This window comes from Homo sapiens, chromosome 6, assembly GCF_000001405.40.
Source record: "Homo sapiens chromosome 6, GRCh38.p14 Primary Assembly".
Classification (NCBI taxonomy): Eukaryota; Metazoa; Chordata; class Mammalia; order Primates; family Hominidae; genus Homo; species Homo sapiens.
This window is the reverse complement of record NC_000006.12, coordinates 78,289,333-78,301,460: the sequence shown is the minus strand read 5'-3', so window position 1 is coordinate 78,301,460 and position 12,128 is coordinate 78,289,333. Positions and strand designations below refer to the sequence as shown.

The following is a 12,128-nucleotide window of genomic DNA, read 5'->3' as shown; positions in this document are numbered from 1 at the left end:
CCTTGTTTGTGCAAACACTTTTTCATGTAACAGCAAAAAGATTAGTAAATGATTCTTCAATATAAGCAATATTTACTAGAAAAATTACCAGCATACATGAGAAATGTGAATTACTTATTTTAATATAATGTGACTATTTAGAGTGAGCTCTAAATTACTAGAGGACAGCTTTAAGCAGATGTTTGAGAATGTGGTGTTCAGAGCAACATATGATGTACCACAGAGAAGTTGGTACAAGAGAAGCTGCCTTAACTGACCACATTGAAAAAACCTGCAAGATAAATTTTGCTCTCTAGTCTTTAAGTAAATTATACTCACTAAAGCCTGTGACAGCACAAATGCTTGTGGTCAACATACACATTTCTAATATGCTCACACCCTTCTGTTTCTGTAACTTGAGATGTTTACTTAATGAGTCAATTATATTTCTTACCACACGATATTGATTTTATTATTAATTTCTTGTCTTAAAAATTTGATTTTTACACTACAGATTAATATGGTTACTAATATTTTAAAGATAATAATCATTTGTAAAGAATCTTGAAAATTATTTCGAGATTCATGGAAACAAAAGAATGTAGTCTCTGTAGGAGAGATGGTTGACACACTAAATTTTGATTTGTTCTCTTTTCACAGGAAAAGAGCTGAAGCAATGCATATGGCTTCACAGCTGGAGACCACACTCCTCAGCCTCCTTACAACCAACCTGTCTTGTTTGAATCCATTCTCTTCAAGGGAATGAGAACAAAATTTACGTGTGCAGCTTCCAGGTCAGTTACAATTTATAATAAAAGTGAAATCTCTTGTTCTGGACTGATGCTTTCTTTAGACTGGAAAGCAGATTTTGCAATGATATAATTTTGGTCATGAAGATAAGGGCAATGTCTTATTAGTTGATAGAGAACAAGATGGAGAAAACCACCCTCCCTAGAAGTTCTCATGAGGCAGGGTTACCCTGTTAATTATACTGTTTCCTGATGGAGAAATGAACTTCTATCATATTTAAGCCATTGATTGTATTTTGGGATTTTCTTCATTACAGCAACTTAGTCTCTATCCAAAAAGACGATTTCTTATCCATCAATTCCATTCATAGAAATATAACCTAAATAAATAATCTTATATTGAAAAAGATAGTGCTCATGCATACTTTTTTCTTTCTTTGTCCCAAAGGAAAAATAAAGAAACATTCATAAATTAAAAACAAATAAAGTTTGTAATTTTCAAGAGGGGACTACTCCACACACAAATGAGACTATCACAGCTTTGAATTCTTAAGGAAATTTGAGAGATTTTATCATGTCCCAGATATTGGACATAAGTTATCTCTTTATATATGCAATTATCCTAAGAAATTTTCCAATTTTATCAATAAGGGATGTTGACAAATGAGCATACCCTGAGGAAAGGTATCAGGAATCATTCCATGTGGAAAAAAAAATGAAACAACAGGAAATATTTAGAGAAGAAATTATGTATGACTTGATAGGTTTATCTAATTGTTTCAGAACGACCCAGTATAATATAAATTAGACTGCAAATTAATCAGGGACAGAGTTAGGGTCAGTCATTGGAAGCTAAAACAAACCAAAACATAACACAAATTTCAGCTCTACTAAAGGAATATTTTTCTAATGTGTGGAGCCTCACATGAATGAAGAGCCAATTATCAATGATGTCCAAAGGAAGATGAAATAGTGTTCAGCTAGAGAATGGCATCTTAGGTTCCTTTTAATCCTGAAAATTCATAAATCTTTATTGATATTCTAGGCAGTTTTTCTTTATCAATACAAGTTACTAAAACTTTGCCTAATTTGAAAATCTTGAATATCAGTTTTTGTTTAGGTAATTGTTTTGACTTCCTCTATATAGCAAGAACACAAATTCTGGATGACACTGCTTACTTCCAAATCCTAGACCTAACATTAGGAAAAGTTGCTTGTGCTCTGTAATACTTGATTTCCTTATTTCTTTTTTTGGGATGGGTTGGCGGAGTTTCACTCTTGCTGCCCAACCTGAAGTGCAGTGGCACGATCTCAGCTCACTGCAACCTCCTCCTCCCAGGTACAAACGATTCTCCTGCCTCAGCCTCTCGAGTAGCTGGGATTACAGGCGCGCACCACCACGCCTGGCTAATTTTTTGTATTTTTAGGAGAAACGGGTTTCACCATGTTAGCCAGGATGGTCTCGATCTCCTGATCTTGTGATCCACCTGCCTTGGCCTCCCAAAGTGCTGGGATTACAGGTGTGAGCCACCGCGCCTGGTGGGTTTTCTTATTTCTAAATTATGTTTGATGATAGTGTCTGGTGCCCAGGCTTTTATGAATATTAAATAAGACAATTCAACTGCTAAACACAATTCTATTTTAAAAAATCAAAAAATGTGAGGTATTATTATATCCTCCTTAATTAAATCTCACTTTGTGTAATTTGCTTTTACATTATAGCATCATTTAAGTAGTCCGTTTGTAAAACAGCTAGCTATTTTTTATCATTCACCAAATCACTGTTAAAATTATCTTCATCATTATAATCTGAATCAACATTAAGAAAATTTAAATTGTATTAAGAATTCAATATCTCACATCCCTCAGATGGTATTTTTTAATTTTTAATTTTTAAATTTGACACATAATATTGTATGTATTTATCATATACAACACGATGTCTTGAAGTATCCATAAGTTTCTCTTGGTCTACATTTTCACCAGCTGTTCCATTATTAGTCTTTTTAAACTTAACAGTTCTATAATGATAGGTCACTATGGTTATAATTTGCATTTCTCTGAATAATAATGAAGTGGAGAATCTATATATGTTTATTTGTCATTTTAGTATTATTTAATTTTGAAGAATCTGTGAGCTTTTGCCCATTTATCTATTGAATTTTCTGTTTTTTATATATTTGTGAAGGTTTATTATTTAGTCTATTAAAAGCCTCTTACTGTATGTGCATTGCAAATAGCTTTTCCCAATCAGTGGCTTATTTTTTTCATTCTGTTATAAACAAAGATTCCTAATTTTATTTTGTAGAAATTTAAGTGGTACACTGCAGTTTATTTACATGGATATAATGTGTAATAGTGACGTCTGGGCTTTTAGTGTAACCATTAACCAAATAATGTACATTTTTTCCCATTAAGTAATTTCTCATCCTTCACCACCCTTCTGAGTCTCCAGTGTCTCTTTTTACACACTTCATGTCCGTATATACACATTATTTAGCTTCTGCTTGTAAATGAGAACATGCATTATTTGATTTTCTGTTTCTGAGTTGTTCCGCTTAAGATAATGTCCCCAGTTTCATCTATGTTGCTGCAAAATACATGATTTCATTTATTTCATTCTTTTTTTATGGCTGAATAGTATTCCATGTTATATATATGTTTGCATATGTGTATATATGTACATATATACACATACATGTATGTGTGCATGTGTGTATCTACACATAGCATTTTATCTATATACACGCCATTTTATTTATTCATTCATCTATCAATGGATAGAGATTGATTCCATATTTTTGCTATTGTGAATAGTGCTGCAATGAACATACAAATGCAGGTGTATTTTTGATATAATATTTTCTTTTCCTTTGGGTAGATACCCAGTAGTGGGATTGCCGGATCAAATGGTACTTCTATTTTTAGTTCTTTGAGAAATCTCCATTCTGTTCTCCAAACAGGTTGTATTAATTTACTAAGCATTCTTTTGCCTTCACATCCTCACAAACATCTATTATTTTTTTACTTTTTAATAATAGTCTTTCTGACTAGGGTAAAATTATATCTCATTGTGGTTTAAATTTGCGTATCTCTAATGATAAGAGAAATGATGTTGAATGTTTGTTTATATGCTTGTTGGCCATTTGTATGTCTTCTTTTGAAAAATGTCTATTCATGTCACTTGCTCACTTTATAATGGGATTATTTTGTTATTGCTGTTGAGTTGTTTGAGTTCCTTGTAAATTTTGGATATTAGTCTTCTGTCATGTGCATAGTTTGTAAATACTTTTTTCCACTCTGTAGGTTGTTGTTTACTCTGTTATTTTGGTTGCTGTGCACAAGCTCTCTTGCTACTACTACCAGCATTTGAGGAAGCCACTATATTAAGGCTATTTATAACCAAAAAACTTAAGCAGTCTTTAACAATGAATGTACTCAGAAGCAAAGCCATACGGCCCTATTCAAAATACATCATTGTTGTATTCTCAGGGGGAAAAAGCCCCACCCCAACAAAATAAATTCAAAAATAAATAGAAGCAACTATTTCTCCAGATGCAAAAAATCAGCATAATAATACAGGAAATATGAAAAAACAAGGTATTATGACACTCCCAGTGCACTACAAATTGCCCAGACCAATGTTCTGAAGATTTTTCCAATGTCATAGTTTGGGGCCTTAGATTTAAGTCCTTAATCCATTTTGAGTTAATTTATATGTTGAGAGGGAAGGATCTAGTTTCATTCTTCTGCATATAGATATCCAGTTTTCCCAGCACCATTTATTGAAGAGACTGTCTTCCCTCCAGTGTATGTTCTTGGTACCTTTATTGAAAATGAGTTCACCGTTGGTGTGTAGATTTATTTCTGGGCTCTCAACATTCATCCTTTGGTCTATGTGTCTCTTTTTATGCCAGTACCATGCTATTTTTGTTACTATAGTTGTGTAGCAAAATTTTTGAAGTCAGGTAATGTGATTCCCTCAGTTTTGTTCTATTTGCTTAGGGTAGTGGGTCTTTTGTGGTTCCATATAAATTTTCTAATTGTATTTTCTATTTCTATGAAGAATACCATTGGTATTTTGAGCATTAAACCTATATGTTGGTTCAGTAGTATGGACATTTTAACAATATTGATTCTTCCAATCAATGAACATGAAATATTTTTCCATTTTTTGGTTTCCTCTTCAGTTACATTTATTAGTGTCTTATAGTTTTAATTGTAAAGATCTTTTACTTCTTTGGTTAAATTAATTCGTAGGCATTTAATTTTATTTTTGGTCAGTATAATGGGACTATTTTTAATTTTTTTTATTTTTCACTGTTAGTATATGGAAATGCTACTGATTTTTGTATGTTGGTTTTGTTTCCTGTAACTCTACTGAATTTGTTGATCAGTTCTAGTAGTGTTCTTCTGGAGTCCTTAGGTTTTTCCAAATGTAAGACTGTATCCTAAGCAAATAAGAAAAATTTGACTTCTTTCAATTCAATTCGGATGCCTTTTATATCTTTCTCTTGTTTGATCACTCTAGCAAAGACTTCCAGTACTTTGTTAAATAACACTGGTGACAGTGGGCATCCTTGTCATGTTCTAGATCCTATAGGAAAGGATTTCAGTTTTTCCCCATTCCGTATGACACTAGATGTGTGTCTGTCATATGTTGCTTTTATTATGTTGAGGTATGTTCTTTCTATTCCCAGTTTTTTGAGGGTCTTAACATAAAGGGATATTGAATTTTATAAAATGTTTTTTCAGTACTAATTGAAATGATCAGATGCTTTTTATCCTTCATTCTATTGATGTATTACATTGATTGACTTGCATATGTTGAATCATACTTGCATCCCAGAGATAAATACTACTTGGTCATGAAGGATGATCTTTCTAATGTATTGTTGAATTTGGGTTTCTAGTATTTTGTTGAAGATCTTTGCATCAATATTTATAAGAGATACTGACCTATAGGTTTTATTTTTTATTAATGTGTTGTTGTCCAGTTTTGGCATTAGGGGAATATTGGCCTCGAAGAATGAGTTTGGAAGTATTCTCTCCTCCTTTATTTTCTAGAATAGTTTGAGTAGGATTGATATTATTTCTTCTTTACATGTTTGGCAGAATTCAGCAGTGAAGCCATCAGGTCTTGGGCTTTTGTTTACTGGGAGACTTTTTGTTATGGCTTTGATCTTGTTATTTATTACTAGTCTGTTCAGATTTTGGATTTCTTCATTATTCAATCTTGGTAGATTGTATGTGTCTAGGAATTCATTTATTGTATCTAGATTTTCCAATTTGTTGGTATGTAGTTGCTCATAGTAGCTGCTAATGATCCTTTAAATTTCTGAAATACCAGTTGTAATGTCTCCATTTTCACTTCTAATCTTACTTGCATCTTCTCTCTTTTTCTATTAGTCTGGCTAAATATTTGTCCACTTACTTTAACTTTTTAAAAAGACTACTTTTTGTTTTGTTGACTTTTGTTCTATTTTTTATTTCAGTTTCACTTATTTCTTCTCTATTTTTTATTATTTATTTTCTTCAGCCAGTTTTGGGTTTGATTTGCTCTTGCTTTTCTAGTTCTTTAAGATGCGTCATTAGATTGTATATTTGAAGTTTTTTCTCTTTTTTGATGTAGGCATTTAGAGCTATCAGCTTTCATCTTAGTACTGCTTTTGCTGTGTCCCATAGGTTTTCGTATGTTGTGTTTTCATTATCATTTGTCTCAAGAAATCTTCTAATTTTTCTCTTAATTTCTTCATTGATCCACTGGTTATTCAGGGGCACAATTTTTACTTTTCATGTATTCATGTAGTTTTCAAATTCCTCTTGTTATTATCTAGTTTTATTCCTTTGTGGTCAGAAAATGTGCTTGATATTATTTCAATTTGTTTTGAAATATTTAAGAGTTGTTTTGTGACCTAACACATGGCCTATCCTTGAGAATAATCAATATGCTGAGGAGAAAAATGTGTATTCTGCAACCATTGGATGAAATGTTCTTTAAATATCTATTAGATCCATTTGGTCTCTAGTACAAATTATGCCTGATATTTCCTTGTTGATTTTCTGTTCAGTAGATCTGTCCAATGCTGAAAGTGGGGTGTTGAAGTCTCCAGCTATTATTGTATTGAGGTCTATCTCTCTCTTTAGCTATAATATTTGCTTTATATATCTCAATTCTCCAAATGTTGGGGTACATATATATTTAAAACTGGTATCTCCTTTTGCTGAATTCATCCCTTTATCATTATATAGTGACCCTCTTTGTCTCTTGCAGTTTTAGTCTTGAAATCTATTTTGCCTGATATAAGTATCACAACTCTTGCTCCTTTTTGGTTTACATTGGCATGAAATATGCTTTTTCATCCCTTTCCTTTCAGTCTATGTGTGTCTTTATAGGTGACATGTGTTTCTTGTAGGCAACAGATCAATGAGTCTTATTTTCCCATTCATTCAGCCAGTGTATGTTTTTTGATTGAAGAGTTTAGCACATTTATATTCAATGTTATTATTGATCAGTAATGACTTACTTCTGCCATTTTGTTATTTGTTTTCTACTTTTGTCATCATCTCTTCCTTCTTCCTTTCATTCCTGTTTCCCACTAGTGAAGTTGCTATTCAATTTTGCTGAGTCTTGATGTGATTGCATTATTTAAAACCTTTCTTAGTCATACTCTTTAAGGTCTAAAACTGTTGGTGTTTCCATAATCCAATATTTCAGATTTCTGGACTCTCTCTGTCATTTCATTTTTTTTTATTTGCACATTGTTCACTCTTTGCTGGAGATTATCTCTTCCTTCTGTAGGCATAGCATACATGCGAAGCATATATAGCATACTAAGGAAGGCCAGTTTTAAAAATCACCACTAAAAACTCATATCTTGTTTTCCAACCTCTTCTAGAGCTACAGGCACATGGTGTCCATATAATGCAGGTGACATTTCTGTCAAATGTTTTATCACAACGTTGTATGGCTCTGCAGATTTTCTGCTTCCCATAGTAGTTTATTCTTCCACCAGTCACCTCACAGCTAAGTCTATGCTTATATTTTCACAACATTCACTTCAAGATACCAATTCTACATGAATTAAAGTGACATAAACTCCTATAAAATATCTCAATCTCAGTAGCTTTATACAAAAAAAACTTTGTTTAGTTACATAACAATTAAATGCCAATATTCACAAGATGTTTAGGGACTCAGGTGACTTTTACCTTATGACAGTGGCTTTACCCTTTTCCATGTCCCTGAGTCTTCTACATTTAGTGAGTGGGGAAAGACAAGATGAATGACATCAAGCCTTATATGAGACAGATCAGGAAGTACCATTTTTTACTCCTAGACACTGTTCATTGACCCCAACTCAGTTAAAAGCCTGCACATAATGCAAAGGGAGGCTCAGAATTGTAGTTAAGCGGAGTGCTCAACAATAAAAGGGAAATAAGATTATTTTTTGGTTAAAGATATTTTAGGTTCTGCTACAAAAATATGGAGAATAATATGCAATAGTTAATGGGAATGTGAAAGAGCAGTGAAGAGGAGGAGAACATGCTGAAAGATGAATAGAAGGCATAAATAAAAAAGAGAAGTGAGGAATGAGAATTAGTTATTTAGTCTTTACAATAATGAATTAAGATGTATTGCATTTTATACCTTTACAGATAGAACACAACAGCCTTTAATAGCCTGTATAAATTATCTAAATTCACATCGCAAATTCACTTGATTATTCTTATATGCAACTTCAGGTATATCTAAAGAGTAAGCCTATGATCTTTTCTCTAGAATGAAAATTGATGCATATAGAAACATACCCATCAACATCCAATGGTATGTTTTATGTTCTATGAAGCCAAATTGTATGTTACACTATATTTTGAACCTCATTATCCTACCTGTATATTTATTTATGAGAGATATGGTCAGGTATACCATGCATAACAGTTGTTAATAATTTTTTAGTTAAGAAGTATGATTAATTACCTTTACTTGAATACAAACTGATGACAGTATATAACAAATAATCAAGACTTTCATTAAATATGCAAAATAAGATCTTTTCAAAATGGAAAGCTTTATTCTTTAAGTTTACATGCCTAAATGTTATTACATTGCTCATTCAACAAAACACACAGCATTTTATTTAATTATCATCATTTGTCTCCAAAAGCAAATATTTGCAAACTACATGAATTCCTCAAACACTCTATATCTTTATTTGCAGAAATGAGAAAGAAAGCCTCAGGCTGATGGCTTTTGTTCAAATTATACAAATGTATGAATAACTATAAATGACTAGTTATTATTATTACACTATAACAGAAATAAATGAATTCTCTTTATTTAAACAACTCTTTTTCTCTAACTAAAGTCTTCTTTGGGAGCCATGGGAGATCTGAATATGAAGCAAACTGTTTTTGTTTTAAAATATTCCCAAACAACCATGTAAACAAGGCTTTTATGTTGACTGTGTATATTATTGTTCTAACTAAAATTTTAAGCCTCTTAACAGGTTATTTATTTTGCCGTGTAAACATTTTCTACACATTCTGGTGTTTAGAGAGAAACCATCCCTCAAGCAACATTATTTAAAGCGGTTTTTCATTAGTCTTATTGTTCTGGAAAGCGGAAACTATTGTATTTCTAAGATAGGTTCACCCTCTTTATGTACGTAATTCTGAAAATATCTGAAAGGTTACATTTTAAACTAAGGTCATTATACAAATAAGAAAAACATTTATTTAAGACGGTTTATGAAGTTAATTATTAGAGTTTATAAAAAACAATTTAATGCATGTATGCTATCAATAATAAATACTGTGAAAATATTTGTTTAAAGTGTGGTCATGCAAGGCTCCTATATGCCTATAAGAGTAAGAAACATATGTAAATCAATACAGTTCTGATCATTTTCTACCATAGCGCCAGGTTCCCTTCAGAAACCTATGCTAGATTGTTCACATTCCACAGGGAGAAACAGTAGATTTTTCATTTGTTGGAATTATGTTTCTTATTCTAAAAGCAGAGAATTCTTATTTCCTTACTTCAAATTATCAAACTCCATAGTTAAGGAGTCTTTATTCAATATCTTTCCATAGTTTATTCTATTTCATTTCCTGTTAGCTATGGCAGATGCTGGGTAACGTGGAAATTTAAGGAACAGGAATTCTTCTCTGATGGCATGTTTTACACATTGCTGTAAAAATTGCTATTGAAGCCGTGTTATAGGTGCTTCTCCTTTATTACTGTGTTGATGTCAGTGAAAGGATTTATTAAAAACTAAATTTTTTTATGGAAAAGACTTCTATCACTCTAAGTCTTCACCCACTATTTAACAATATATTATTTTGTTTTGACCCCCTCAATTACACTAACAAACTCTCATCTCTGTTGAGGTAAAATTTTGCTCTTTAAATCTTTCTTGCTCAGATATCTTAGGGTATAATTTGAAACAATTTAAAATTTAAGGGGATCTCAGAGATCTTCTAGTTTGCTGTTCCTGTTGTACAGATGATGATATAAAAAAATCTTAAAGAAGTATGTGACTCAGTTAAGGGTAATCCACTTTTTAAAGTCAAAGGAAGCCCTGGAACACAGATCTTGTGATTCCAATTTTATGATTTCTTTTTAACTATTACTTGCTGACTACTCAGTATCCTTTTCCTAATCAAGTAAATAAAGATATTTGTAAGTTAATTTTCTATCTATAATTGATTCTGCCTGAGACACAGGAAGAGCTGTTTGAGTTCAACAATCATAATGGAAAGCAACAGCGATAAGAGTGTCCCTTCATCAGTTCCTGCTAATTTTTCATCTTATTGAGATATCCGTCTGTTTATTCTTGCTGTTATTGCCATATTTGGAAACTGGGAATATACAGATAAATTATAGAGAACATCTTTCATCATGTCTCCTGAGGAGTGTTCAAACAGGTTGGCATTTTCAAAGGAAGCTTTACCTAGATGACAGAAGAAGAATAGCAATATCAAAAACAGTCCCCTCTATCCCTTCCCTAAAGAAAAAAAAAACAAAAATACTAAGAGAAAGAAGACAATATAAATAATTAAAGGCAGACAACTTCATAAAGTACCAAAATTCTCTCATGATAAATGCTTTCTTTGTGTGTGAGAGGGATATAATCTTGAACAAAACCAGAAATGAAGACTGTTGGACAGTGAGAGTGTCATAGGCCTGTATAATGAGAACTCCTTCCAGACTTCTGTAGCATTTAATGAGGAGACTGGGTTTTGGTAGGGTGAGATTACTTGTGATTTTATCACTACCCATGCCTCAGTTTCTTTTGAGACAGAAAAAAACCTGAGAAGGGGGCTCTCTTAGATATCCCAGCGGGGTGTTAGATAAGCCATGCTTCTGGCTTTACAATACTCACTCTGACTGTCCTTCCTTCTAGCTTCCAGATTGCCCACCACTGTGTCTTCCTCCCACGTAGATTCAGTTTCCTGTCTAAGGATGGGTCTGCTTTACAGCTCAGTTGCTGCTTTAAAAAGCAGAACTGCTCAGCAATTGAAAAAAAGTGTTTCCACGTAAAAGCCAATCCATGTAACTGAAGTAAGTGACTGTCACCCAGGATGTGCTGATATGTCAATTTAAAGATGCAAGAAACATGAAAAAGCAAGGAAACATAATGCCACCGAAGGAAAATAATAATTCTCTAGTAGGAAATCACAAAAAAGAAAAATCTATAAAATATCTAAAAAGGAATTCAAAATAATAATATTGAAGAACTCAGCCAGATACAAGATAACACAGATAAACAATTGGGAAATTAGAAAATAATTTATAATCTGAATGATAAATTGCTAGATATGATAAAAAAGACAAACAGAAATCCTGAAGTGAAGAATTCAATCAGTGATATAAAAATACAATCAAAATCTTCAGCAATAGACTTCATCAAGCAGAATAAAGAATTTCTGACTTGAAGACAGGTCTTTTGAAATGTCATAGACAAAAGAAGAAAAAAGGACTTAAAAAGAATGAAGAAAGCTTATGTGACATATGGGACACCATAAAGTAACCAAATATTCAAATTTTGGGAATTGTGGAGAAAAAGAGATGGAAAACTTATGTAACAAAATGATAGGTTAAAATTTCTCAAGTCTTGAACAAAATATATACATCCATTTATAAGAAGCATCCATTTATAAGAAGCATCCATATACATGAATTCACCCAGATACAGGAAATGCAACAAATATTCCCAAGTAGATTCAATTCTAAAAGGTCATGTTTAAGGTAGAGTAAAACCATCAAAATAGCAAGAAAAAACATCATCAAATATAAGGAAATCCCCATCAGATCAACAGCTAATTTCTCAAAATTTTTCAGCAGAAACCTTATAAGCCAGGAAAGAATGGGATATTCAAAGTACTAACAATACA

General features: G+C 32.3%; 1 long non-coding RNA gene across 1 annotated transcript in view; it reads left to right on the top strand.

Moving 5' to 3' along the window:
• The first annotated feature begins 639 nt into the window (after positions 1 to 639).
• Positions 640 to 12,128, top strand: part of LOC105377865 (uncharacterized) — a 374,941-nt gene continuing 363,452 nt past the window's right edge. The window contains exon 1 of the long non-coding RNA XR_002956359.2: positions 640 to 773. This is a non-coding gene — a long non-coding RNA (uncharacterized LOC105377865). The remainder of the gene's footprint in view (positions 774 to 12,128) is intronic.